The sequence below is a fragment of the Homo sapiens genome, chromosome X (genome assembly GCF_000001405.40).
Source record: "Homo sapiens chromosome X, GRCh38.p14 Primary Assembly".
NCBI classification, from domain to species: domain Eukaryota; kingdom Metazoa; phylum Chordata; class Mammalia; order Primates; family Hominidae; genus Homo; species Homo sapiens.
In genome coordinates this window covers 139,526,052-139,553,843 of record NC_000023.11, presented here as the reverse complement: position 1 = coordinate 139,553,843, position 27,792 = coordinate 139,526,052, and the positions used below count along the sequence as shown (strand labels likewise).

At 38.1% G+C, this 27,792-nt stretch overlaps 1 protein-coding gene across 3 annotated transcripts in view; it reads right to left on the bottom strand.

The window, feature by feature from the left end:
• F9 (coagulation factor IX) overlaps nt 1–23,105 on the bottom strand; it is a 32,721-nt gene extending 9,616 nt beyond the window's left edge. Inside the window, exons 1-6 of one of the 3 annotated variants that reach the window (NM_000133.4) lie at nt 22,992–23,105; nt 16,671–16,834; nt 16,458–16,482; nt 12,655–12,768; nt 5,353–5,481; nt 2,580–2,782 (exon numbers count right to left, since the gene is read on the bottom strand). In NM_000133.4, the coding sequence (NP_000124.1) occupies nt 2,580–2,782; nt 5,353–5,481; nt 12,655–12,768; nt 16,458–16,482; nt 16,671–16,834; nt 22,992–23,079 (723 nt within the window). In that variant the 5' untranslated portion in view covers nt 23,080–23,105. The remainder of the gene's footprint in view (nt 1–2,579; nt 2,783–5,352; nt 5,482–12,654; nt 12,769–16,457; nt 16,483–16,670; nt 16,835–22,991) is intronic. The other 2 variants (XM_005262397.5, NM_001313913.2) reach the window with 2 other exon arrangements.

Sequence of the window (27,792 nt, the reverse complement as noted above, 5' to 3'; positions counted from 1 at the left end):
AATCTTGGACTTTTTTTTTTTTTTTTTTTTTGAGACGGAGTCTCGCTCTGTCGCCCAGGCTGGAGTGCAGTGGCGGGATCTCGGCTCACTGCCAGCTCCGCCTCCCCGGTTCACGCCATTCTCCTGCCTCAGCCTCCCGTGTAGCTGGGACTATAGGCGCCTGCCACCACGCCGGGCTAATTTTTTGTATTTTTGGAAGAGACGGGGTTTCACTATGTTAGCCAGGATGGTTTTGATCTCCTGAATCTTGGACTTTTAAAAACGGAAGTTATCTTCTTAGCTAATATATTCTCCTGGGTTCTTGGATCCCCTACTCTGAGCACTGTTCTATGTCCCACAAACCCAAGGAAGATAATTGTCATAAAGTAGGATCTTTTGTTGTAACCATGTTATCCATGGAAGTTGGACACATAATGAATGAAAATACATGAGAACACAAAATGACAAAATTAGAGAGAATAGATACATGGATATTAAATACATTGAAGGCATAATAACAGTGCTTGCACTTAAGAGGGATTGTTCCAGGAAAGGTTCATAAAGAAGGTCAATATTACAGAGTTGTGAAGAAGAGTAAAGATATGGATGAGTGAAGGAAGGGGTTATGGTAGGTAAGGGAAGCAGTCCTCATAGGGTGCAATTAAGTAGAAACAGAGGAGGTAAAAAGGAACATACAGTGTCCCATTTATGAGTTATAAGATCAGGTCCAGCAAATATTGTCTTTTTAAAAAGCAAAGGTAAAAGAAAGGGAAAACCTTGATTGTGATGTTCTGCCACTCTTTGATACCATTCTCCACAATGCTTGTGCAATTATACCTACCACCCCATCCCCAGGTATATGTGTAATACCTTACATCCATTATGTTGAAAAATGGCAGGCATTCTCAAGAATCCTGGATAGATACACAGCTAGTCCCAGAAAATTCCAATGCTGTTAAAACTGAGGACATTTACCTGATTCTGGCTTAAATTGTCACCAGTTTGATAATTGCAAACTTTAAATTTATCAGTCTCTAATGGCAGAGATTCTAACCTCAGTAGAGAAATCCATGAAATTACTACTAAATCATGACTGTGGCAACTAGGGAGTTTTAAGTTACACTAAACTATTATAAGTGCTATCCAATAGAAATTTCTGCAGTAATAGAGTGTTCTATCTCCGCTTGCACTCTCCAATACAGTAGTTACTAGCCACATGTGGTTGTTATGTGCTTAAAATTTGGCAGGTGCAATTGAGGAATTGAATTTTTAATTTCTCTTAATTGTAGTTAATTTAAATTTAAATAGCCATATGTGGCTAGTGGTTACCTATTGGACAGCACAACTTTATATAAGGACCATCCTGGCTTCCTGCCTGGGGAGGGGGGCCAAAGAGGTGGGTTATTTCTTCTCACAGACGGAATCTCTTAGGCTTCAGCTGTAGGCTAAGTTACAACCCAGATTTTGCTACAAATGTAGCTCTTGGTTGTTAAATGAAAAATGTGCATAGGTAATTCTACATATGTAGGTTGTTTGCAGACTACGCTTGGAGAAATGTCTGCAGAGCACCCGGGAAGGACTAGGTACAAGTGCATTATTTGGTGTTTTGAACCCCGGCTTCTGTAACAAGTTCATTTCCTTTGGGCCAGTGTTTTTCTTTTTCTGTTTTTTGAGATAGGGTCTTACTCTGTCACTCAGGCTGAAGTGCAGTGGTGTGATCACAATTCACTGCAGCCTCGACTTTCCAGGCTCAGGTGATTCTCCCACCTCAGCCTCCTGAATAGCTGGGAGCACAGGTGGGAGCCATCACACCTAGCTAATTTTTGTATTTTTTTTAATTAGAGGTGGGGTTTCGCCGTGTTGCCCAGGCTGGTCTCAAACTCCTGGGTTTAAGCAATCCTCCCGTCTCAGTCTCCCAAAGTGCTGGGATTATTGGCATGAGCCACTGCACCTGGCCTAGTTTTCAAACTATAATGTGCATCAAAATCACCTGCAGTGCTTGTTTGCGCACAGACTGCTGGGCCCCACCCCCTAGATATTCTGATTTGGTAGGTCTAGTGTAGAGCAGGAGAATTTGCATTTCTACGTTCCCAGGTGATTCTGATGCTACCACGAGAACTATAGTGGTAGATCAAGACTCTCTCTCATGCCCTGTTTCTTGGAACCTAGTTCTTGCCTTAATCCTTCCTCCTTGAGTCCCTTTCTTTACCCCCTTTTAAATAATCCAATTTTTCTTAGCCTAAAGACTTTCCAACTCTCACCAGTTTTTGCAAGGGCTGAAGCTGAAGTAGTGCCCTGAACCTGAGTACCTGCGACCTTTCTTCCAGACCTTCATGTTGTTGACCAGTTGCCTGTCTGGAATCCTGCTATGCTGTTTCCTTAATGCCAAATTCTTCTTGACCTGTATGGTAGCTGGTTTTGAGCCTCTCTTTCACCAACTGCTCATCTCTGGAGGCCTTCTCACATTGGTTAGTGCTGAAACTTGCCTAAATACTTCTCACATCCCAATAGGTCTGTCTAGTAAAATAGCCTCAGTCTCCCACCTGGCCTGTGTCTTGCCAGCTGAGCTCCAGTTTTGACACACCATCAGTATAAAGTACCTGCCAAGGGAATTGACCTGGTTTGGCATCTTCTCCACCAACAACCCGAGTGAAGTCATTAAATGATTGGGTGCTTTGAGTGATGTTATCCAAAATGGTTTCAGCTTCAGTAGAATTTACATAGTCCACATCAGGAAAAACAGTCTCAGCACGGGTGAGCTTAGAAGTTTGTGAAACAGAAACTCTTCCACATGGAAATGGCACTAGAAAAATAGAAGAAAAATTAGTAACCTGATATTTCTCATTGGCAAATGGAACATGTATTACAAAAATTGAGATTGAGGCCCATCCTTGTCACTTCTGAGAAGCAGGCCCATCAGTATTTAAAAAAATCTAATCAGTGAATAGAGTCTCAAGCTAAAAGGTTGATTGCGTTATTTTCATGGACAGTTTTCAAATCCTTCATGAAAAGAACATTTGGCTCCGGAATTCATCATCTTTACGGAAATAGAATAGGTGTTCCAGAATCAAATTTGGTAAGACTTTTACAGAGTCTAATGACTTTGTGTTTAGTTTCTTTACTAAAAAGTCTTACTCCCAATTGCCATCCCTGAATGGAAGTCTTATGATTGATGCTTTGTAACTTTAACTTTCCAATTTGGTAAATGGGACTTCTGCTGCTTATGATTAAGAAGGTTTCTTTTGCAGACTAAAAGGCCTTCTAGATTCCAAGGTGCATTTTATATATTTTCTGGGGAGAGATCATTGTGATTCAATTATTTGGGCTTCAAATATTAGCCAAAGAGATTGCTAATATAATTATCACAGCCATATTCACCAGGACCTGCCCACCATTTTTCCTTGGGTTGGTTTATTTTCTAAAGAAAAATAATGTATTGATACACTGGGGACTACCAGAATGGGAATTTGTAGTCAAACAAAGTCACTTCACATTTCATTTTCATTTATCACTTTCCTTCAAGCCACATTCCTTGTAACAGACATTTCTATAGCAACCAGCTGCGACAAAGTATCATGAAGACAGCAAGTGGTTGAGAAAACAGGAAATTAGTTCAAAATACTTATGTATAAGTGTACACAATCAACAATGGCTACAGAAAAGGGACCTTTATCATTGAAAAGGCAGAAAAGCTTATTTTAAGTTTGGCCTACTTATTCTGCTAAAGCTAAGGCTATATTCAAATATAACACTTAATAGTTGGAGGTGGTTCTCAATTCTGTTTCTCTTTTATAGCATAGAAGAACTTGTAAGGGTTTAGCTAGTATGCCATCTGTCTATACTGGAAGTTAGGTTTTTAAGGTTAAAATACACAGACACACACCCACACACATATTCATGCTCCTCTCAAGGTAGACTAGCTTTGAGACAGTGTATGTGAAGAACCAGGCAGAAGAACAAGTGGGCAGGCCCTGAAGCCTTAGAGATTCTTCATTTTATTTGCAGGATATATATTCCTAGCTTCTGGTTTGTTGGGAACAGGCCTCCAAATCTGGCCATAAACTGGCCCCAAAACTGGCCATAAACAAAATCTCTGCAGCACTGTGATATGCTCGTGATGGCCTTGATATCCACACTGGAAGGTTGTGGGTTTACCAGAATGAGGGCAAGGAACACCTGGCCCACCCAGGGCGGAAAACTGCTTAAAGGTGTTCTTAAACCACAGACAATTGCATAAGTGATTTGTGCCTTAAGGACATGTTCCTGCTGCAGATAACTAGCCAGACTCATCCCTTTATTTCCCATAAGGAATACTTTCAGTAAATCTTATGACTGGCTTGCTGTCAATAAATATGTGGGTAAATCTCTGTTCGGGGCTCTCAGCTCTGAAGGCTGTGAGACCCCTGATTTCCCACTCCATACTCTATATTTCTGTGTGTGTGTCTTTAATTCCTCTAGTGCCGCAGGATTAGGGTCTCCCTGACCAAGCTGATCTCGGCACTGGTTCTTTCTTTAATTTCTTCTGCCTGGTATAGTGCTGAGACAGGTACTGAAACAGTTACAGAGAAATGGTGCACAATTTAATGTACCAATTAATAAGATATCAGGCTTTAGAAATGCAAAAGAAATTATATCTAGTTTGCTTCAAAAAAGCCCCTCATTTATCAAATATAATTGACCCTGCAGAGCCTAAATTTTTCAAAAAATAAAAGTGTCTACTGCTTTCATCTTTAGATAACAGCCATACGAACATGGAGTGGAGATGTTCTGAATACACTAATCAGCTGTTAAAATGGTGGCATGGTTGGCATGACTGGGAAACATTGTTTTGTTCACAGCCATATAGATTGTGCTGATCAGCCTAGCAGAACATAAAACAGTTCATTGCCGGAATCATTCTGACACCAAGTGTGTAAACTCAGCTTAAGACCCAACAATAAAAAATAACTTTCTCAGAGTAAACTAGCCAGCCCAGATAGAATCATGCTTCAAACTTACCGTCCTTATACTAGAAGCCTATCACTCAATTATTTGTGTATATTTTATGATATAGTATTACTACATTGATTTGACTTGATGAATTACAAATACATATGCAGAAATCACACAAATTAATTGCTTTGTGATATAAATGTTAGAGAAAAAAATTGGACAAATTGGACACAGAAAGAATTCAGGTTGTAGATGATTACATAGTTTATATTTAAAATATGATGCAATCTAGAAAATTAATTGGTCTAATTCAAGCTACTGATATTTTCTATGATTTCAAAAGGAAGCAGATTCAAGTAGGAATTAAAATTATGTAGGTTTGTTAAAATGCTGAAGTTTCAGATACAGATTTTCTTTAAAAAATCTTATTCAGATTATGACCTGCTGGTTCACAGGACTTCTGGTTTTCTGCAAGTCGATATCCCTCAGTACAGGAGCAAACCACCTTGTTATCAGCACTATTTTTACAAAACTGCTCGCATCTGCCATTCTTAATGTTACATGTTACATCTAAAAGAAGCAAAATAGACAGTAACAGCATCATTTAACATGCATTTCTAAAAAGTACATGGAACTACTGACTCATGTATGGGTCAAATATACATTGGGGGCATTCATGTTGCCCCCAATATACGTTGGGGAGAGAAATTTTGGAGCCTTGAAATAAGAGTGGAAAGAAAGGTAAAATAAACTTCTCAATAATGCATAAAAATGATGGTAGCACTATAATTGATTGGTTTAAAACTAAATGTTTGGATATTCTACTTTCACTAAATTATGAACTACAGGTTTAAAAACCCTATTTATTAATGTATAACATATATTCAAAAAATACACACAATTTTAGTGTAAGTTTTCACAAAGTAAATGAGCCTGTTTAAACACTAAACTGACCAATACATAGCACATTATCAATACCCCAGAAGATGCCCCCTCCCAATCATTCCACCCTTTTTCCTTTTTATAGGTTACCATTACCTGGACTTCTAACACAGTAAACAGTTCTTGCCAGTTCTTGAATTATAAACAGAAGTTCGCAATATGTACTCGTCTGTGTCTTTCATTTAACATTTTGTCTGTGAGATTAAACCATGTTGTTTTGTACAGCAGTAGTTCATTTACATTGCTGTGTAGTATTCCACTGTATTACTATTACAGCTTTTATTTATTCATTCTACTGTTAATGGATATTTGGTTTGTTTCCAGTTTTTGGCTCTTATGTATAATAGTGTAATGAACATTCTTGTATATATCTTTTGGTGACATAAACATGCCTTTTTACTGGCTTATAATTATGAGTGTAATTACTGGATCACATGTTCAGATCTAGTAGATACTGCCAAGCAATTTTCTAAAATGATTGTACGAACTTAAATTCCCACCATCACTGTATGGGGTTCAGTTATTAGGTATCTGTATTGCAGATATCTTGTCTCACTCTGTGACTTGTCTTTTCAGTCGAAGTAGTGTCTTTTGCTGAACAGGAGTCCTTAGTTTTAATATAGTCCAGTTTATCAATCTTTTCCTTTATGGTGATCACTTTTTGTATTTTAAGAAATTTTTGCTTTCTGCAAGTTATGAATATAAATTGTTATTGTTTCATACTTCATGCCATATGAATATCTAATTGACCTATCACTTTTTATTGAAAACACCAATAATTTCCTTCTCTACTGCACTGGCACCTCTATCATAAATCAAGCCTTTATATATGTACAGGTGTGCTTCTGAGCACTCTAGTGTGTTTCACTGATCTATTTGTCTATCCTTGTGTCAGTACCACACTGTCTTAATAAATGTAACTCGATAATAAGTCTTGACATCTGGTAGTGTAAGTAGTACAAGTTTATTCTTCCTCAAAACTGTCTTGGCTATCCTTGGCTCTTTGCATTTCCATATGCATTTTATAATTAGCTTATGAATCCTGCCCGACCTCCCACCACCAAAAAAAGCCTGCTGGGCACTTTGGTATTGCATTGAATCCATTAGTAAACATTTGATATATTTACTATATTGTATCCTTTAATTGATAAACATTGCCTATTCATTCATTTATTTAGGTTTTCCTTAATTTTTCTCAATAACGTCTCATAATTTTTTATGTAGAGTTCTTGCACATCTTTCTCACATTTATTACTAAGCGTCTAATTTTTAATGCTATTATAAAAATCATTTTTGAATCGTTGCTGGTATATAGACATACAATTGATATTTGTATGTTGACTCTGTATCCAGTAATCTTTCTATACTTATTTATTTTAATTGTTTAGATGCTTTGGGTTTTCTATATGTACAATCATTTTTTCTGAAAGTTACAGTTTTACTTATTTTTTTCAGTGAACACAAAAAGCAACCGCAATTTCATAATCTCATGTAGATACTGCCTTTCTGCATTGAAGTGTAATTTCTATTGCTTAGTTATTCTAGAAATTGCTTGGCTTCCAGAGCTAGACTGTTTAACAGGTTACCTATAAAAGTAGAATCTGGAAGTCTTTAGAAATTACAGTGTTAGAATAGCAGACATGGAATCAACCTAAATGCCCATCAATGACAGACCGGATAAAGAAAATGTGGTTCATATATACCATGGAATATTATGCAGCCATAGAAAAGAAGGAGATTATGTCTTTTGTGGGAATATGAATGGAGCTGGAGGCTATCATCCTTAGGAAACTAGCGTAGGAACAAAAATCAAATACTGCAGGTTCTCACTTGTAAGCGGGAGCTAAGTGTTAAGAACTTATAAACACAAAGAAGGAAACAACAGATACTGGAGTCTACTTGAGGGAGGAGGGTGGGATGAGGCAGAGGAGCAGAAAAGATCACTATTTGGTACTGAGCTGAATATCTGCGTCATGTAATAATATGTACAACAAACCCCTGTGACACATGTTTATCTATGTAACAAACCTTCACATGTACCCCTAAACCTAAAATAAAACATTTAAAAAAAAGAAATTATAGTGCTAGGAAGTCCATTAGGGCCAAAAAGCAACTTGAAGCTGGCTGAGGTGGTTACATATCAAACATAAGAGAATGAAATAGGGTCCTGTAAGGTAACTGAAGACCAAAGACCAATATGTCATTAGTGCTAAGCATTCCAGTGGCCCACATTTTCTTTACTCTCCTATGCAATTCCCCTTATTAATAAAAAAAATCTCTTGTCTTTTGAAATGATTTTCCTCTTGGATTCTATTTTGTCTGATATTAAGATTGCTTTGCTAGTTTCTTTTTGTTAGTTTTTACCTGATAGTTCTTTTCACATCCCTTCATTTTGGCCTCCCAGTGTAATTTTATTTTAGGTATCACTTTCGTTAACAGTATACAATTAAATTTTTAACTCCAAGCTGAAAGTTGTCATTATTAATAGATTAGTTTAATCCCAATTCACAATAATTGTGTTTCCTGATATTTTTGGCTTATTCCTGCCATCTTGTTTTGTATTTTCTAATTACTGTGCTTTCCCTTTGTTTCTCCTATGCAATACCAATAACAGGAAGTACCATGTTTCAGGACTTGTTAGCTTAGACCTGCTGAATTAAGAAAAACAGGCTCTGCTCTTGAGCCTATTTCTGTTTCTAGAGCAGCACAGGAACATAAACAATGTAAGACACCTTTCCCCTTGTGTACGTGTTTGACAACAGTAAAACTTTCAATAGAAATCCTCAGTGGTCAGTGCAATCATAACATGGAAAGTTTGAAAATGAGTGACTGTATTAGATACCTCCTATGCACCACCTTCATTCTTCTCAGCTTCACCTGTGTCTTTTTCCAGCATGGTGGTGATTAGCTCTGGGTGGATGTCAACCAGCCTCCTATGGGTGTATCCTTGAATTGCCTTGGCTCATAGCTGCACTATGTGTCTTTTGCCTTGAAGCTTCCCTGTTCATGCTGAGGCATGGATGCCATATGACCCTCTGGGTACCCAAGCATATCCAACTAGGAAATGTGAGGGAGTTAATTCCCCATAAGTCGAACTTCTAACCAATGAGAGACAGATACTGACAGACAAATTCTTTCACCGCTTCTTCCCACTCAGGTGGACTAACCTGAGGCCAATTTGACTTATTGGAGACAGTCCCAGGAAGTTAAGCAATCAGTTGCTGTTAGAAACGAGTAGTTTGATAACTCATCCTCTTATTGGCTTTCTTTTCCTTTCTGCCTCACTCTTCAGTTCCTTTCTCTTGCCCCCTGGGATTGCACATGTTAATAAATAAGCTTGTGACTTTTTTTCTGGGGGAACACAGGCTAACAGAGTGACTGTATGGTTTTGGAGAATATGAATTTTTGAGTGATGAATCTAAACTTTTAAACTCTATTTTACATATGCTAGCATAGCCAAATGTAATAATTGGCTCTTAGTCCTTACGGATACTTCAGGAGATAAAGGGAGGCAAATCAACTGTTGCCAGGGGGACAAAGGAACCAGCTTGAGCTTTAACCTTTGCTACCAATAATCCACTAAGGGCATGATCCAAAAAGATGGCACTTGGTCCTATTAATTAATTAATTAATTAATTAAAAGGCCTTTCTCCTCACTAACAGTGGTAATATCCCTGGATCTTTTTCTGTTACTAGCTATCATTTTGTTGCTACGAAGCAATGCTAAAGTGTTCAGCCAAATCAAACATTACCTGTAGAAAGTGTTCCGTCAATATGAGATTGTGATAAGTTACGAAAGGTGCAGCTTGGTTTGTCCAGGGCATGCACAATGGGAATGAATAAACTCTGTGTTTTCTCAATTGTGATTCTGTGTCATTGGCTAAGAAGTAACCAGACCTCTGTATCATTCTCCACATTTGTCATTGCCCTTTAGGGCTCAGTATGTTGCTGCTGCTGTTGATCTTTGGCTTGTTTTGCGCAGGAGGTGGGAAATATTGCTTCCTAATCAGCAATCTTTTGCCCTCAGCTAAAAGGCTGAAGATTCCAGAAATAAAATAATGGCACAAGGAATTCCAGGGGAGAGTTCCATAGAGCAGGGCTAAGGAACAGTTAGAATGGGACTCATTTATCAATTACTGAGCATTTATGTGTCAGGTACTGTGGTGGATATGGGCTCTCTCTGGTCCCGAAGGGGGTCTCAGTGCCTAGAATATCTGTTGAAGAACATCTCAAAGCATCTGTTCTCCCTCCCTCCATGTTAACACAAACACTTTCTAATTCCCTTCATGCCTACTACAAATGTTAGTATGTTCTGCTTTAGTTTATTCTGCCTTTATATTTCCTGATATATCCACTTGTGTGACAACCAAAGCTTGGACAAAAGATGTTTTATTTAACAAGTTTACCACAAAATATGCTGTGCTTCAGCTAAACTCAACATATTTCCTTTTTTTACTCCTCAGAAATACGTAGTAAATAAGACAGTAGTGTCTGTGACATGCTGGGAAAATTGAAGAAGGTGTTTATAGGCTTGTGATTTTTGTTTTCTTTCCATTCTACTTTACTGCGGGAAAATGCCTCTGTTACTCTTTAGAAGAGACAGGAATGACCAAATTCTTACAGACCTTCATTTATCTGAGAGATATTTGGGTTTGATGTACAGCTAGGGACATCATACAGAGGTCTTTATTCTAACCAAAGGGACCCAATAGCCAATTAATATTCTTTAACTAGAATGCATGCCCTGAACGTTTACACCTCTCTCTCGCAGTGAAGGGCCTGATGAACAAGGGAAAAAGATAACAAAAAACTCTTATTGATGAAAATCTCCTTTCTTTTTTTCAAGACCTTATAAGACAAAAGACTTGGGGCCGAGATGCCCCATAAACTGTGCTATCTAGTAGCTGTTGCAATTAGTCTTTAATTTGAAGCAACAAACTTAAATGGTAATTTGTTTATGCTTTTGCTGTAGCTTTCCTCTGTTGTCTGAGATAAAGAGCAATTTGTGGGAATTCTCATTTTGTTTGTGAGCTAACTGGGCTGAAAATATTTTTCTAAACCTTGATCAGATTGGTGGGTCAGATCAATATACTGTAGAGGCCAGGAGTGGTGGTGGCTGCAGTACAACTGCACAGCCTTGACCAAACCAAAATGTGGGAACATGAGAGTATCCAAGTTGTGTCAGTTGTAGACTTAGCATTTTTGCTGGGTGGAACACAGCCACACACGTAGCAAACTCTGTTGTAGAAGTTTTGTGCTTATATTTACATTCCTCAGGGCTATTCCCTTCCTCCTTTTAAAGCATCTTTATTTTTAAACTAGGTAAAGATATTTATGTTTTCAATTATAGTTTACAACAATGTGCCCTTCAGTTGTAACTGAGACTAATTGAGTTACTCATTCCCTCAGCTCCACCGGCTATATTATTTAAGCTGATAATGAGTAACTACTCCAAGGATTTCTAGAGGTTTCCATAATAGCAAGATCAAATTTATCCAGGTAAATCTGAATTTCAAATTATAACCTTTCAGATGAAAGTAGCACTTCAGAGATATTGAATCAATTAACACACTCTCAAGAAAGGTAACCCAGGCATTAGTTTGTCCCCCACAATGGAAACCTAAGGGAATGGGAGTCCAAGCCAGGTGTGCAAGTTCATTCACTCTTTTCTTTCTTTTCAAATGTCTTTGCCCTGTCACCTTTTCCTTTTTTTACCTTCTAAGAAATTTTCGAGACTAAAGGAAGATGGTCAATGAATTTTTTAGTACTGAAAGGATTTCTGAACAACATTACAGGTGACTTTTTTCCTTTCTCAATAGGACGAGTGTAGCTGCTACATTTCATTTCATTTCATGCCTTTTTCATCTGTCAGGTGGATTGCTGTAATGCCTTAATAGAGTCCTGCTAATTTTCTACTCTTTATCCTTAGTCATGTAGCCTGTGGTGTTAAATTCTTCCTTAGGATTGCATCTCTATTCTTCCAGAGTGTCAGAGTAGAAAGTGAATTCCTCATTAGCACTGTGTGCGTTTCTCAATCACAGTACCAGTAATATTGCATCTGGAGGTAATAAACAAGTAGGTAAGGGACACTGGGGTTTACTGCTCCAATTACTGAAACGTCGGAAAAAGAAATAATCTAGGCTTTGAGAAGAAAAGGTACACAAGGATTCTAAGGTTGCTATGTAACATTTTTGATGTAATCAATATAGTCAAATTCAGGGATGAGCTTTGAATGTTGTCAACAAGTTTAGCATATGAAGTGGTTTGTACATGTGGAGAATTCCCATTATATGGGATAATTGGCCAGTCATACTCCAGTTCTGTACTTAATTGACTTTCACTACCTATGTTGATAGCAATTTAGTCATGATTTCAATTTTCTGGGTTCAGTTTTCTCTGAGTTTTGAATATAGTAGTTAGAAGCATGGGTTTTGGTCACACTGAAGTTTAAGTCCTGTCTAAACCATTTATGCCTCTGTAATTTTTGGCCGTTGGAGTTGCGGTTTTCTCATCTGCATAGAATGCGCATAATGATAGTACTAACCACATACGGTTGTATTAAAGATTAATAAGTGAGTGGAACATCATTATTACTTAATATTAGTTACCAAATATTGTTATTGATTTTAATGTAGCTTCTTGAACTCATATCCTGAAAACTATCACTACAAATGAAATGTTTATAAGCATCAAAGGTATGTTTTTAAGAAAAATTATGATACACCAATATTGCATTTTCCAGTTTCAACTTGTTTCAGAGGGAAACTTTGAACCATGAGTATTCAAAAAATAGTTACTTACCTAATTCACAGTTCTTTCCTTCAAATCCAAAGGGACACCAACATTCATAGGAATTAATGTCATCCTTGCAACTGCCGCCATTTAAACATGGATTGGACTCACACTGATCTCCATCTTTGAGATAGGTTAAGAAATTGAATTGGCACGTAAACTGCTTAGAATGCCCGGTCCTCCCCTGTAGATACTCATTGGGATGGGAGTCTGATTTTAGGGTCAGAGCAAAACTACTGACCTGGAAGCCAGCTGCCTATAGGCATATGATGCTCCTGTCTTCCTGAGTTTCTAAAAGCCACCCAAACAAAGATCCTTAGGCTGACACTGTCCTAGAAAAGTGCCCTGAGGAAGGCATGTACATAGTTTATGCAATCCAAGGGAAGAGGGAGAAGGACGTTTTTGTATAGAAAGGTACTATATCAGCACAGGGTGAGAAGGATTTTCAATCCTTCCTTATAGAATGATGGCAGAGTTAATTCCAAGTCAAATTTAATTGCTTCAACAAATATTATCTCTATGTCACACAAGGCTCTATTGCAGGTCTTGTAGAGCAAACTGAGCTAGATAATATATGGCGTTTCCACTTTAGGAACTGACGGCCTAGGCAGGGAGCAAATGAATCTGCTTTCTTGTATTGTCACTTAACTTTGATGTATCATATGCAGTAATGGTTCAAGACAATAGAAAACATGTCAGAAGCATCTGTTACTACTTAAAGATAGTCTATGTTTTACAAATTCGGTTTCAAATGGTCTAGGTAATGTGAGAGACAGCATTCGATATATCATACAGAATTTAAAAAGATTCTACAGTGTGCTTTATTTATGTATGCATTGGTTATGTTTCCATTCTGCCTTTCTTGAAGTTTCTGCATTTACCGTGTACTTGAAAGCCTTTGAAGACACTGATGGTAAGAAAACAGGAGGAAGGAATAGGTGAAAGGAGAAAAGTCAGAATGAGAAGGGAATCTTTAAGTCTGGTTTCTTAGTGCTCTGCCTTAATCCACACTTCTAAAGGAGCTTTGGGAGAGAAGGATGAATAGAACCAGAAGGGAGATGGTAGGCACTTTGAACTAGAAAAATACCCCTGAAGAAAAAAATAGGAGCTTGATCTGTAAGACTCAATATATGAGAAACAAAGGAGTAAGAGATAAAGATAACAATAAGAATCAAAGAATGAGGGAAAAGGGGGAAACTGAGAAATTTCTAATTATCAGTCGTATTTTAAAGCAAATCTCCTTGACATCTGGTGTGTAGATTCCTGCCTATTCTCCCTCTTCTCTGTCAGAAGCGTGTATCCAGGTTCCGTTGACTAAGAGACTAATATCCCTTTATCATAAGTAGTCCCTCCCTGGAAAATTTGCTTATTTAAAAATTAGACCTTGTCCCCTCTGCTCCTAGATCTGATATGCTTTTGCACAGATACTCTAATTTGTTCCAATTCTATGAAAACAAAATCGGTTATCTCTGGTTTGTTACTATTGATGTTCAGAACTGGTCTAAAAATGAGCTACATTTGCCCTTTATATTATAGACCAACAAATGTGAATTATTCAGGATGTTTTACTGAAAGGGTCTGGGCTTTCAGCCAGCTACACAGGAACTCATTTGCTGAGACATGTCGTTAAAATGAGTGTCATTTTATCCCACATTTGGTTCTCCTTTGGTTTCTAGGCTGTGTGTACTTTGGGTTCAGGCAAAGCCATAGACAGTTGGGGTCAAATACAACAAGAGACAAGATCTTACCAAGTGAGAGATTCCTGTTTAAGACTACCAGGTTCCTGTTTAATGAATAACTGCATTTAGATTTGAAGGCCCTGAGGTGTAATAGTGAAAGCAAGGGGTTGAGCAGCAGAGAATTTGGCTTCTCTTCTGGGCTTCATGACTCCCCAACTGGGAGACCTTTGGCAGTTCTTTTAACTTCCCTAAGCTTCAGTTTACTCTCCTGTAAAATGGAGTTAATAATGCTTTGGTCACAAGGATGGTGTGAGGGTTAAATGTGATAGGCCTTTTGTAAACTGGAAAGTCTTGACAGATGCTAGTAATGTGGTTGGACAATCATTCTTCAACCAGGCTCTTTATGTGATGAGTTGATGGTACAGAATAGCACAGCAGTGAGAAGCTTGGGTTTCTACTATGTGCAAGAAGAAACATAGGCTAATTTTGTAGTGGTTAGGAACCTTGACTGCAAGTGAAAAGAGGCAGGGAGTTTGTTTCTTTTTTGTTCTTGTTTTGTTTTATTTTTTGGTTGACGAAGCAGTAGTAACAGAATAATACCCTCCATGTTTTCCAGATAGCTATACCTGTGGTATAGCAAACAGTGTACCTATGTGACCCAAAAGGCAAGGGCCCAACTTTAAAATATGATCCTGGGGGTGGGGAGTGAGCAATGAAGGGATTGTAGGAGTTTAATAGTCAGGAATTTTTTGGTGGGGAAAATCGGCATGGATTTACTTTTAGAAATAAATCATGTGATTCAAAGTTCTAAATTCTGCGGGAATGGAGATTGCAAAGACCTATTTGGACTAACTTTAGGGGGCACCTCAGTAGAAGCTGGTATGGTAGTATTCGTTTCTAAGATCAAGGAAAGGTAGATAAAACAATATAACAGAGTCAACTCTTTTTCTCTCATGATTTAAAAACAAAAGTGGAGGAGTTATGAGTTATGAGAGTAAAAGAGTGTCCAGTAGTGTCTCCAGAACATAAACTGTAGAAAATAGAATTGGATTTCCAATTGATGGAAGTTGGTGAATTTGTTGTCTGGATTAATTTCTTTTTATTTATGCAGATAGTCTTAGGTAAGTCAATCTTTGAAACTTACCCTCCCTCAAAATCCTACTGCTGAATTTTAAGTTATTGTAGCTTTAAAGTTAGTTGTCATTAAAGTTTTGAGTTTTCCTTCTTTTGGTCAATTCATTTGATAAATATTTACTGAGTACCTCTTTTCCAGATACTGTTCTAGGTGCTAGGAATATATCAATAAACAAAACAATTGAATATCCCTGCCAACATGAAACTTGCATTTTAGTGGAGTAGGAGAAAATAAATGATAAATAGTATGAGTAAGAAATTATATGATACATTAGATGGTGAAAAGCTCTGTTAAAAAGTAGAGTGGAGTTCTGTACAGGTGTCTAGAGTGGTAAGGCTACTGGGGCAGGTTGAAGTATTAATAGATGGTGAAGGTAGGCCTCATTAAGATGGTAACATTTGGGCAAAGACCCGAAGGAGGTGAGGGAGTCAGCCCACAGGAAGTTGGGAACAGCCAAATAAGAGAAACAGCCAGATAAAGCCTCCAAAGTGGGAGCATTCCTAGAGTGTGCAAGAAGTGACAGGAAGGCCAGGGTGGCTGGAGCCCAGTGTGCGAGGAGAGAAGTAGCAGAGGAGGCAAGAAGGGTAATGGGGAGGGTGGGGAAGGACAATCATGGAAGGGCTTGTGGGCCATGATAATGAGGAGGACTTTGAAGCTATAAACATTTAAGTCAATCAGCAGTCTCTGATTTTACTGAGGAATGCAAACTTTCATTAGGTTCTAAGACACAATCATTTCAGTTTCTTCCTTCCACCCTCCTGGGGTGGAACAATGTTCTTTGTGAAGCCCTAGGGAGGATTAAACTTATTTACCAGCGATAGTTCCCACACTGGCATAACCCTGTAGTATATCACCATTCAATATGGGTTAGAGGGTTGGACTGATCTTTCTGAGTCCTTTTGACAAAGTTTAATATATTATCTATTTATGCAGAGAAAAAACCCACATAATTCTCATATGTTTCATATATTAGCTAGAGGATAAAATGAATTGCTTACCAACATACTGCTTCCAAAATTCAGTCTATAAAGAATAAAAGAAGACAAATTAACGGTAATATCTAAAGTGTTTTGGTATTGATTTCCTATCTTTTATAACATTTAACATACATAAATATATATGGATGCTTTAAAATTTTAAAGAGAAGTGTCTTTTTAAAGATTTTCTATTCTATGCTCTGCATCTGAAGGGTATTATGTGGAAATACTCACTGTTCTTTCAGTGTTTTCAAAAACTTCTCGTGCTTCTTCAAAACTACACTTTTCTTCCATACATTCTCTCTCAAGGTTCCCTTGAACAAACTCTTCCAATTTACCTGAATTATACCTCTTTGGCCGATTCAGAATTTTGTTGGCGTTTTCATGATCAAGAAAAACTGAAATGTAAAAGAATAATTCTTTAGTTTTAGCAAAAAAGAAAACATCATGAAAATTTTACATCTCTTAAGAAAGTCTTTGTTTTTAATCCAAATAATCTGAAAGCCAATTTCTCTTTAGGGCATGGAGCCAAAATCTGTGATGTTCCCACAGTACTGTATACACATGGAGATTTAGGAATTAAAATTCAATTTTACTTTTAGTCAAGAGAATTCCAGTAATAAAAGGTCAGATTTCTAATCATATTTGAATTTACTTTGGATGAAAAAGAAAGTTCTCAAATGAGCGGTTAACTTCACACTTTGTCATCACTTGAAAATAGCTCATTGAGGATCTTTGCAAAGTGATCCATCACCCTGGCTGGGCTGTTTTCAGAATATGGTTGCCCAAATGACTTTGAACAAATGTCTCCTGAAGAACAGAAGCCTAATTATGGTCCAGCTGCAAATGTGACCCCAGTGTCTGTCACTAGATGTTAAAGAAAAATCACTGCATTAATTTAAAAAAGCAATTTCAGATCAACAGCACCTTTGGTTGGCAAGTGTTATAGGAATTGCAGTGATTTAAGCATCTCTCTAGAATTCAGGATATGTTTTTTTTAAGCTACATCTACCTAGTCTGAAGAGACACTCCTGAACTCTGGAGGATAGATGTCTCTATCTGAATCATATTTCTCCTTCCCTCCCTCCTTCCTCTCCTCTCCTCTCTCTCTCTCTCTATGTGTGTGTGTGTACATATATATATACATATATGTGTGTACATATATATACATATATGTGTGTACATATATATGTGTGTGTATATATGTATACATATATGTACACATATATATGTATACATATATACACACACATATATATCATATATATCATATCATATATATATATATATGAGATAATCATTTGCTGCACAATGACATTTTGGTCAATGATGGACCACATTATACGACAGTGGTCCCATAAGGTTATAATACTGTATTTTCACTGTACCTTTTCTATGTTTAGATACACAAATACCACTGTTACCATTGCCTACAGTGTTCAGTACAGTCACATGCTGTACAGGTTTGCAGCCCAGGAGCCTAGGAGCAATAGGCCACATCAATACAACCTAGGTATGTAGTAAGCTATACCATTTAGGTTTAGGTAAGTACACTCTATTATGTTCGCACAATGATGAAATTGCTTAATGACACATTTCTCAGAATATATCCCCATTGTTAAGGAATGCATGGCTGTATACACACACATGTGTTTGTGTGTTTTCATGTATATACATATATGTGTGTGTATGTATAAAATTAATAACAGGGACTCAAGAAGTTGCCTGGAGTTGTTCCTTTCTTCAAGGGTCTAGCAATATATCTGATACCATCTCAAGAGGACCAAGGGCTTATAAGATGAACTTTCTGGGGTATTTGGGACTACTTCCTGATTAACTCCAAAAAGGAAGAGAAAGGAAAGTAAAAAGGAAAGGAAAGAAACGGAGATGAACTAAACTTTCTTCCCTTATTTTCATTGCAGCTGTTCACTTTATGGAGTGTTCTAGTCCCTTGACATCCCTGCTTTTCCCTTGCTCTGCAAGTTCCTTTTGGGCTCACTTTTTTTCTTTGAATTTAGCCTAGACTTTTTCTCTTCAACTCTTTTTTTTTTGACAGAGTCTTGCTCTGTCGCCCAGGCTGGAGTGCAGTGGTGCGATCTCAGCTCACTGCAACCTCCATCTCCCAGGTTCAAGCTATTCTCCTGCCTCAGCCTCCCAAGTAGCTGGGATTACAGGCACCCGCCACCATGCCCAGCTAATTTTTGTATTTTTAGTAAAGCCGGGGTTTCACCATTTCACCTTGTTGGCCAGGCTGGTGTCGAACTCCTGACCTCAAGTGATCTGCCTGCCTGGGCCTCTGAAAGTGCTGGGATTATAGGTGTGAGCCACCATGCCAGGCCTCTCTTCAACTCTTCATTGGCCATATTTCTCAATTTCCTTCACTCGTTTGCAATGCTGTGCCCACCCTGCAATCCTAGCCCCTAAATTGGAGCAGCCATCTGCCTTCATCCTTCTCTTCCCAGACAGCCGAGGACTGTGAAGGAAAAAAATCACCAAAATGCAGATGGATGCCACCACATATTGATGCCTCACAGCCTCCACCCACCTCTCTGCTCAGCAACTCATTTACTTGGCCCTGGACACTCCTAAATAGCATCCATGCCTGCATCCATTTACAGTCGTTCCTCAGTATCCATGGAAAATTGGTGGCAAGACCCCCTGCAAATATCAAGATCTGTGGATGCTCAAGTCTCCGATATAAAAATGGCTTACTATTTGCATATAACCTAAACACATCCTCCTTTGTACTTTAAATCATCTCTAGGTTTCTCTTAATAGCTAATACAATGTAAATGCTATGTAAATAGTTGTTATGCTGTATTGTTTAGGGAATAATGAAAGATAAAAGAGTCTGTACATGTTCAGTAGAGATGCAACCATCCATTTTTTTCTTGAATATTTTTGATCTGCAGTTAATTGAATCTGTGGCTGTGGAACTCACAAGGAGAGCTGACTGTACAGTGTGGTTGAGTGAAAAAACAGACTTTAGAATCAGATCAGACAGAAATAGGTTTGAATCAAGTATCTGCCTCCTCTAGACCTGTGACCTTGGACAAGTCACACAAGCTCTGAACCTTAACTTTGTCAAATGTAAATTAGGTTTAACAGTAGTATAATAAGAATATCTATCTCACAGGTGTTGGCAGGATCAGTGAGACAATATGCTGGTTATCTCTTTTTCTCCCTACTCCTTTCATGTTGGCCCTACTTTCTTCTGTTTTAAATTTCTCAATTCTCTTTAGCTCTTTAATAACTTCTGTGTAGCTCTTTTCCTTCCTTAATCACATTTATATAATGAAATGACTATTGTCACAATCAGGAATGACCTAAAGAATAATTTTGAGTTTATGTATTTACTGGCTGCTCTAAATAATTTCTAATTGTTGATCTCTCCCTTTTTAGGAAACTCTTTTTATAATAATCACTCTATTCTGGTTCCCCGCTTTGCTCTAACTCCTGTTATCCATCCAGCACTTGAATTGATTAACTCCTGTTCCTCTCCATGGCCCTTAAATGTCCAGGGTTCTCCCAGGCTCCAGCCTCAGCTTTTTCCTTTTTCACCTTATATATACTTGCTAGGGCTGGGACAAGAGTGAACCAAACAAGGCATGTAGGGCACAATATTTAAGAGGTCCTCACTTCTCGGGGCATACAAGTATATTTATGCCCTACAGGCCTTGCTTACCACAGTCTAGTCCGGCCCTGACCCTGTCAACAAAATTTACTGAGCATACAACCACTACTGCCAGGCACTGTACTAGGTATCACAATATCCATGCTCACTCTCCAGATGCCCACACACGTGGCTGTAACTACTGTTTACAGAACAATGAGTTCCAAATACTCACCTATAGTCAGATACGTCTCCTGAATTTCAGATTATCTTTCCAACTCCCTAACTGTATATCATAATGTAGCCAGTAATAGCTAATGTATATGTAATGCTTCTGCTGTGTTGGACACTGTGCTCAGTAACTTTGCATCCATTATCTCACTTCATCCTCACAAAAGTCCCACGAGATAGGCACTGTCATCTTATTTTTATGAATGAGGAAGATAGATTCATAGAGGCTAAGGGCTTTGCCCAAGGTAACATACTAAAACATTCAGGATTCAGACTCTGGCAGTCAGACTAAAGAGCCAGTTCTCTTAGACATTATTCTGTGGTCCATAATCACATCAAACACAAAGTCCCCAAGACTCTAGCCATTTCCCCTTCCATACCCAGATGGTTAAGTCATACCACTTCTACTTCCTTAATATCATTTGAACTCCCCTCTTTTTTTGTACTGCTACTGTTCAGGTTCTAGCCTTTATGTCTCCCGCAGATAATTGCAATAGTCTCAGGACTGCTCTCTCCTAGTCTTGGTACGGCCCCCTCCCCCACTATCATTTCATTAGCGTGTTGCCAGACTGGGCATCCTAAATCAGCCATCAGTGGTACTCCTTATGTTTATACTTCGATACCTCCATATTGCATTTTATTGTCCAATCTCCTTAGGTTAATGACTTCATTATCTGATGACCAGCTCTGCCTAGTTTACCTGTCTCACTTGTCATAGTCCATATGGAACCATACAAAACTCCTGAAATACCTCACGTTCTTGCAAATCTGAGTCTTTGCACGAGTGATCCTCTTTGCATAAAATGCCCTTATATCAGACATTTAAAGAGAGAGAACGCCTACTCATCTTTTAAGACCCAGATGAAAATATTCTCTCTCTATCAATTGTTTCCCCATTTAATGTGTTCCTTTCTCTATGATCCCTTAGTACCTAGTGCACATTTTATCACATTATATTGAAACCTCTCACCTGGCCTCATGCTGCTTTAGATCAAAGAGGGAGTCTGGTTTATCCCCATACCCCTAGTACCCTGACACAGTACCTGGCACCATAGTTGTAACTCAGTAATGTCTGAATGAAGGACATCTTTGATGCATACACTTTACAAAACTAAACTGGTTTTACAGAACTGTTTTAATTTCAAAATTCCAAACTGTTGCAATAATACCTAAAGGCAGCAGCCATGAAAATGCAACATCTCAGCAAATCACTCACCGAAACTCCTTTTAGAAGCCAATGAGAGTTTAATAGCAGAAGAGAGTGCTGCATTAATACTGTCTATCCTTAGAAAAATTCCCCTGGCCCCTTCCTCAAGGGCTTATTATCTCTGGCTACAATGGCTGCAGAATCACATTGCCTTTCTCCTTAGTATTATCTGGGGATCGTATACTTAACTTCCCTTCAGGTTTATCGCTAGTCATTATTTCCCAGGCTCCAAAAGCCTGGTTCATCCTTATTCTTATCTATCCTTTCCCCAGCATCTGAAGTCTTCAAGGGGGCAGAAGCCCTCTTACAACCTTCATCATCTCACCACTTATATAGAAGAAAGGGTTTGGATGCTTTGTCCTCCCAGATGTCACACTAATGAGATATATCTAATGGCCTTGCTTTATGTCCTGCTTTGTGAGTTTTCCAACAAATTTTCTTTATCCCTTGACTTTACTCACTTTGCTAGTTTAACCTCTGTATTTTTTTTTATCGTTATTTCAGCATTTCAGTCTGATTTCACAGCTGACATCATGTCTGGAGTGGGAACCACAGGGCCAGTCAGCTTTCTGGGGGTGCTTAGGGTTGGCACCCCTGATCCTGGTACTGTCAGCTACTAGATTTGATTCTAGAAAGTTGACAAGTAAGTGTGATAAATGCTTCCTGTGAGAACATGCTGTTTGTCCAAATGGGATAATTTCTTCCCTGTATGCCTTCCTCTGGGAAATACATAAAGTCACTGTAGTTGTGAAAAAACAAAGTGATATATGTTGCATTAGCTAACTTCCTACTCTTTATGTCAATTCTTAAGCTTGCTTTTCTCCCCTAGGGAACTCAACTGAGTATTGTGTTTCCCCAAATATCAACTCCAAGATGTTTGACATAGAGACAAAATGATTTTTTCCTAATCCATGAAAAGCTTTGGTGATAACTAACAGCTTGCTAATGAAAGGTTAATCTTTATGTTTTAACTAAAACTTTAAATTGAAGATATATAATTTAAAAAATTAGAGACACACCTCATTACATACTTCTGAAACCTTGAAATGTCATATATCTTAAAATCAGACTTTTTGTGTAAATAAGGCCATTGTTTGTGCTTTTGTTTCCCATTTTGATTTCAAAGTGGTAAGTCCAAACAAAAATAATGTGGTTATTTTTTTTCACTATATTCTGCTATTTCTTTGTTTTCCCACTTTTAATTTTTTTAAACCAAGGAGATGAATGTTTTCTAACAGGAATTACATGACCAAATCATGAACTGAACAGTGTTTATTAAACATAAATGCATCATAAGCATTGTCGATCTATTTAGTTTTAAAAATGAAGAAGAAGAAAACCTAGCTAACAAAGAACCAGTACTTACCAACCTGCGTGCTGGCTGTTAGACTCTTCAATATTGCTGTCAAATCATGTAATCAAAATTTAGTGAAGAAGACAGCATCAGATATTTCTATATCTAAAAGGCAAGCATACTCAATGTATTTTAAAAAAGGAAACAAACCTGTACATTCAGCACTGAGTAGATATCCTAAAAGGCAGATGGTGATGAGGCCTGGTGATTCTGCCATGATCATGTTCACGCGCTGCATAACCTTTGCTAGCAGATTGTGAAAGTGGTAAGGTCGATTAGTTGTACCAAAGTACAAGCTGAGCTGTATTTACTTCTGGGAAATAATGTCCATCTCCCTCAATGGGTCTTTGGACTATTTCCAATGGCCTCTTGGGACAAGTGAAGAGAATGGGCAGTGGTCATTATTAAATTTCACCTCTGATTTCGTGGGCTTCTGCCACTGTGGCTGATTTGAGTCTGAAACAGGAAGTGACACATCTTCAGAATGGAGATAGGCATAGTGGCTACATTTACTGTGGCAGCACAGTTCATCAGTGGGACCCACCGTATCTTTGTCAGAGAGCAATGATGTTTACCAAAATGGCTGTACCACTTTACATTTCCATCAGCAATGTATGAGTGGTCCAGTTAGTCTGATTTTTTTTTTTTACTGTCAGATTCTTAAGGTTGTTTATATATTCTAGATATGAGTCCTTTCATAGATACGTGGATTAAATATATTGTCTCCAGCCTGTAGCTTGTCTTTTGTCCTCTTAATTAGGTCTTTCACAGAGTAGAATTTTTTAGTTTTGATGTAGTCCAGTTTATTTGTTTTTGTTTTATGGATCACATTTAGAACTCTTCCACTAACACTAGATCCTGATGATTTTTTTCCTATTTTTTTCTAAATGTTTTACAGTTTGAAGTTTTAGATTTATGCCCATGCTCCATTTTGAGTTAATATTTGTGTAAAGTATGATGTTTAAGTCAAACTTCATTTTTTTTTCCATAGGTATGTCCAATTTATCCAGCACAATTTGTTAAAACAAAAAACAACAATACCACCCTATCCTTCCTCGATTGAATGGCTTCTGAAATTTTTTCGTAAGTCAGTTAACCATATTGTTTTGGGTCTACTTCCAGTTTCTCTATCTATTCTTTGTGCCATTGATGTATTTATCCCTCTGCCAATATAACACTGTCATAATTACTGTAGCTATGTAGTAAGACTTTATATTAGGTAGAGTGATTCCTCCAACTTTATTCTTCTTTTGGTAAGATATTTTTAACTGTTCTAAGGGCTTGTATAAATTTTAGAATGATCTTTTTTTTATTATTATACTTTAAGTTTTAGGGTACATGTGCACAACGAGCAGGTTTGTTACATATGTATACATGTGCCATGTTGGTGTGCTGTACCCATTAACTCGTCATTTAGCATTAGGTATATCCCCTAATGCTATCCCTCCCCTCACCCCCCACCCCACAACAGGCCCCGGTGTGTGATGTTCCCCTTCCTGTGTCCAAGTGTTCTCATTGTTCAGTTCCCACCTATGAGTGAGAACATGCGGTGTTTGGTTTTTTGTCCTTGCGATAGTTTGCTGAGAATGATGGTTTCTAGCTTCATCCATGTCCCTACAAAGGACATGAACTCATTTTCTTTTTATGGCTGCCTAGTATTCCATGGTGTATATGTGCCACATTTTCTTAATCCAGTCTATCATTGTTGGACATTTGGGTTGGTTCCAAGTCATTGCTATTGTGAAAAGTGCCGCAATAAACATACGTGTGCATGTGTCTTTATAGCAGCATGATTTATAATACTTTGGGTATATACCCAATAATGGGATGGCTGGGTCAGATGGTATTTCTAGGTCTAGATCCCTGAGGAATCGCCACACTGACTTCCACAATGGTTGAACTAGTTTACAGTCCCACCAACAGTGTCAAAGTGTTCCTATTTCTCCACATCCTCTCCAGCACCTGTTGCTTCCTGAGTTTTTGATGATCGCCATTCTAACTTGTGTGAGATGGTATCTCATTGTGGTTTTGATTTGCATTTCTCTGATGGCCGGTGATGCTGAGCATTTTTTCATGTGTCTGTTGGCTGCATAAATGTCTTCTTTTGAGAAGTGTCTGTTCATATCCTTCACCCACTTGTTGATGGGGTTGTTTGTTTTTTTCTGTAAATTTGTTTGAGTTCATTTTAGATTCTAGGTATTAGCCCTTGGACAGATGAGTAGATTGCAAAATTTTTCTCCCATTCTTTAGGTTGCCTGTTCACTCTGATGGTAGTTTCTTTTGCTGTGCAGAAGCTCTTTAGTTTCATTTGATCCCATTTGTCAATTTTGGCTTTTGTTGCCATTGCTTTTGGTGTTTTAGACATGAAGTCCTTGCCCATGCCTATGTCCTGAATGGTATTGCCTAGGTTTTCTTCTAGGGTTTTTATGGTTTTAGGTCTAACATTGAAGTCTTTAATCCATCTTGAATTAATTTTTGTATAAGGTATAAGGAAGGGATCCAGTTTCAGCTTTCTACATATGGCTAGCCAGTTTTCCCAGCACCATTTATTAAATAGGGAATCCTTTCCCCATTTCTTGTTTTTGTCAGGTTTTTCAAAGATCAGATAGTTGTAGATATGTGGCATTATTTCTGAGGGCTCTGTTCTGTTCCATTGGTCTGTATCTCTGTTTTGGTACCAGTACCATGCTGTTTTGGTTACTGTAGCCTTGTAGTATAGTTTGAAGTCAGGTAGCATGATGCCTCCAGCTTTGTTCTTTTGGCTTAGGATTGACTTGGCGATGCGGGCTCTTTTTTGGTTCCATATGAACTTTAAAGTAGTTTTTTCCAATTCTGTGAAGAAAGTCATTGGTAGCTTGATGGGGATGGCATTGAATCTATAAATTACCTTGGGCAGTATGGCCATTTTCATGATATTGATTCTTCCTACCCATGAGCATGTAATGTTCTTCCATTTGTTTGTATCCTCTTTTATTTCATTGAGCAGTGGTTTGTAGTTCTCCTTGAAGAGGTCCTTCACATCCCTTGTAAGTAGGATTCCTAGGTATTTTATTCTCTTTGAAGCAATTGTGAATGGGAGTTCACTCATGATTTGGCTGTCTGTTTGTCTGCTATTGGTGTATAAGAATGCCTGTGATTTTTGCACATTGATTTTGTATCCTGAGACTTTGCTGAAGTTGCCTATCAGCTTAAGGAGATTTTGGAATGAGACAATGGGGTTTTCTAGATATACAATCATGTCATCTGCAAACAGGGACAATTTGACTTCCTCTTTTCCTAATTGAATACCCTTTATTTCCTTTTCCTTCCCGATTGCCCTGACCAGAACTTCCAACACTATGTTGAATAGGAGTGGTGAGAGAGGGCATCCCTGTCTTGTGCCAGTTTTCAAAGGGAATGCTTCCAGTTCTTGCCCATTCAGTATGATATTGGCTGTGGGTTTGTCATAGATAGCTCTTATGATTTTGAGATACATCCCATCAATACCTAATTTATTGAGAGTTTTTAGCATGAAGGTTGTTGAATTTTGTCAAAGGCCTTTTCTGCATCTATTGAGGTAATCATGTGGTTTTTGTCTTTGGTTCTGTATATATGCTGGATTACATTTATTGATTTGCATATGTTGAACCAGCCTTGCATCCCAGGGATGAAGCCCACTTGATTATGGTGGACAAGCTTTTTGATGTGCTGCTGGATTTGGTTTGCCAGTATTTTATTGAGGATTTTTGCATTGATGTTCATCAGGGATATTGGTCTAAAATTCTCTTTTTTTGTTGTGTCTCTGCCAGGCTTTGGTATCAGGATGATGCTGGCCTCATAAAATGAGTTAGGGAGGATTCCCTCTTTTTCTATTGATTGGAATAGTTTCAGAAGGAATGGTACCAGCTCCTCCTTGTACCTCTGGTAGAATTTGGCTGTGAATCCATCTGGTCCTGGACTTTTTTTGGTCAGTAAGCTATTAATTATTGCCTCAATTTCAGCTCCTGTTATTGGTCTATTCAGAGATTCAACTTCTTCCTGGTTTAGTCTTGGGAGGGTGTATGTGTCGAGGAATTTATCCATTTCTTCTAGGTTTTCTAGTTTATTTGTATAGAGGTGTTTATAGTATTCTCTGATGGTAGTTTGTATTTCTGCGGGATCGGTGGTGATATCCCCTTTATCATTTTTTATTGCATCTATTTGATTCTTCTCTCTTTTCTTCTTTATTAGTCTTGCTAGTGGTCTATCGGTTTTGTTGATCTTTTCAAAAAACCAGCTCCTGGGTTCATTGATTTTTTGAAAGGTTTTTTGTGTCTCTATTTCCTTCAGTTCTGCTCTGATCTTAGTTATTTCTTGCCTTCTGCTAGCTTTTGAATGTGTTTGCTCTTGCTTCTCTAGTTCTTTTAATTGTGATGTTAGGGTATCCATTTTAGATCCGTCCTGCTTTCTCTTGTGGGCATTTAGTGCTATAAATTTCCCTCTACACACTGCTTTGAATGTGTCCCAGAGATTCTGGTATGTTGCGTCTTTGTTCTTGTTGGTTTCAAAGAACATCTTTATTTCTGCCTTCATTTCGTTATGTACCCAGTAGTCATTCAGGAGCAGGTTGTTCAGTTTCCATGTAGTCGAGTGGTTTTGAGTGAGTTTCTTAATCCTGAGTTCTAGTTTGATTGCACTGTGGTCTGAGAGATAGTTTGTTATAATTTCTGTTCTTTTACATTTGCTGAGGAGTGCTTTACTTTCAACTATGTGATCAATTTTGGAATAGGTGTGGTGTAGTGCTGAGAAGAATGTATATTCTGTTGATTTGGGGTGGAGAGTTCTGTAGATGTCTATTAGGTCCGCTTGGTGCAGAACTGAGTTCAATTCCTGGATATCCTTGTTAACTTTCTGTCTCGTTGATCTGTCTAATGTTGACAGTATGGTGTTAAAGTCTCCCATTATTATTGTGTGGGAGTCTAAGTCTCTTTGT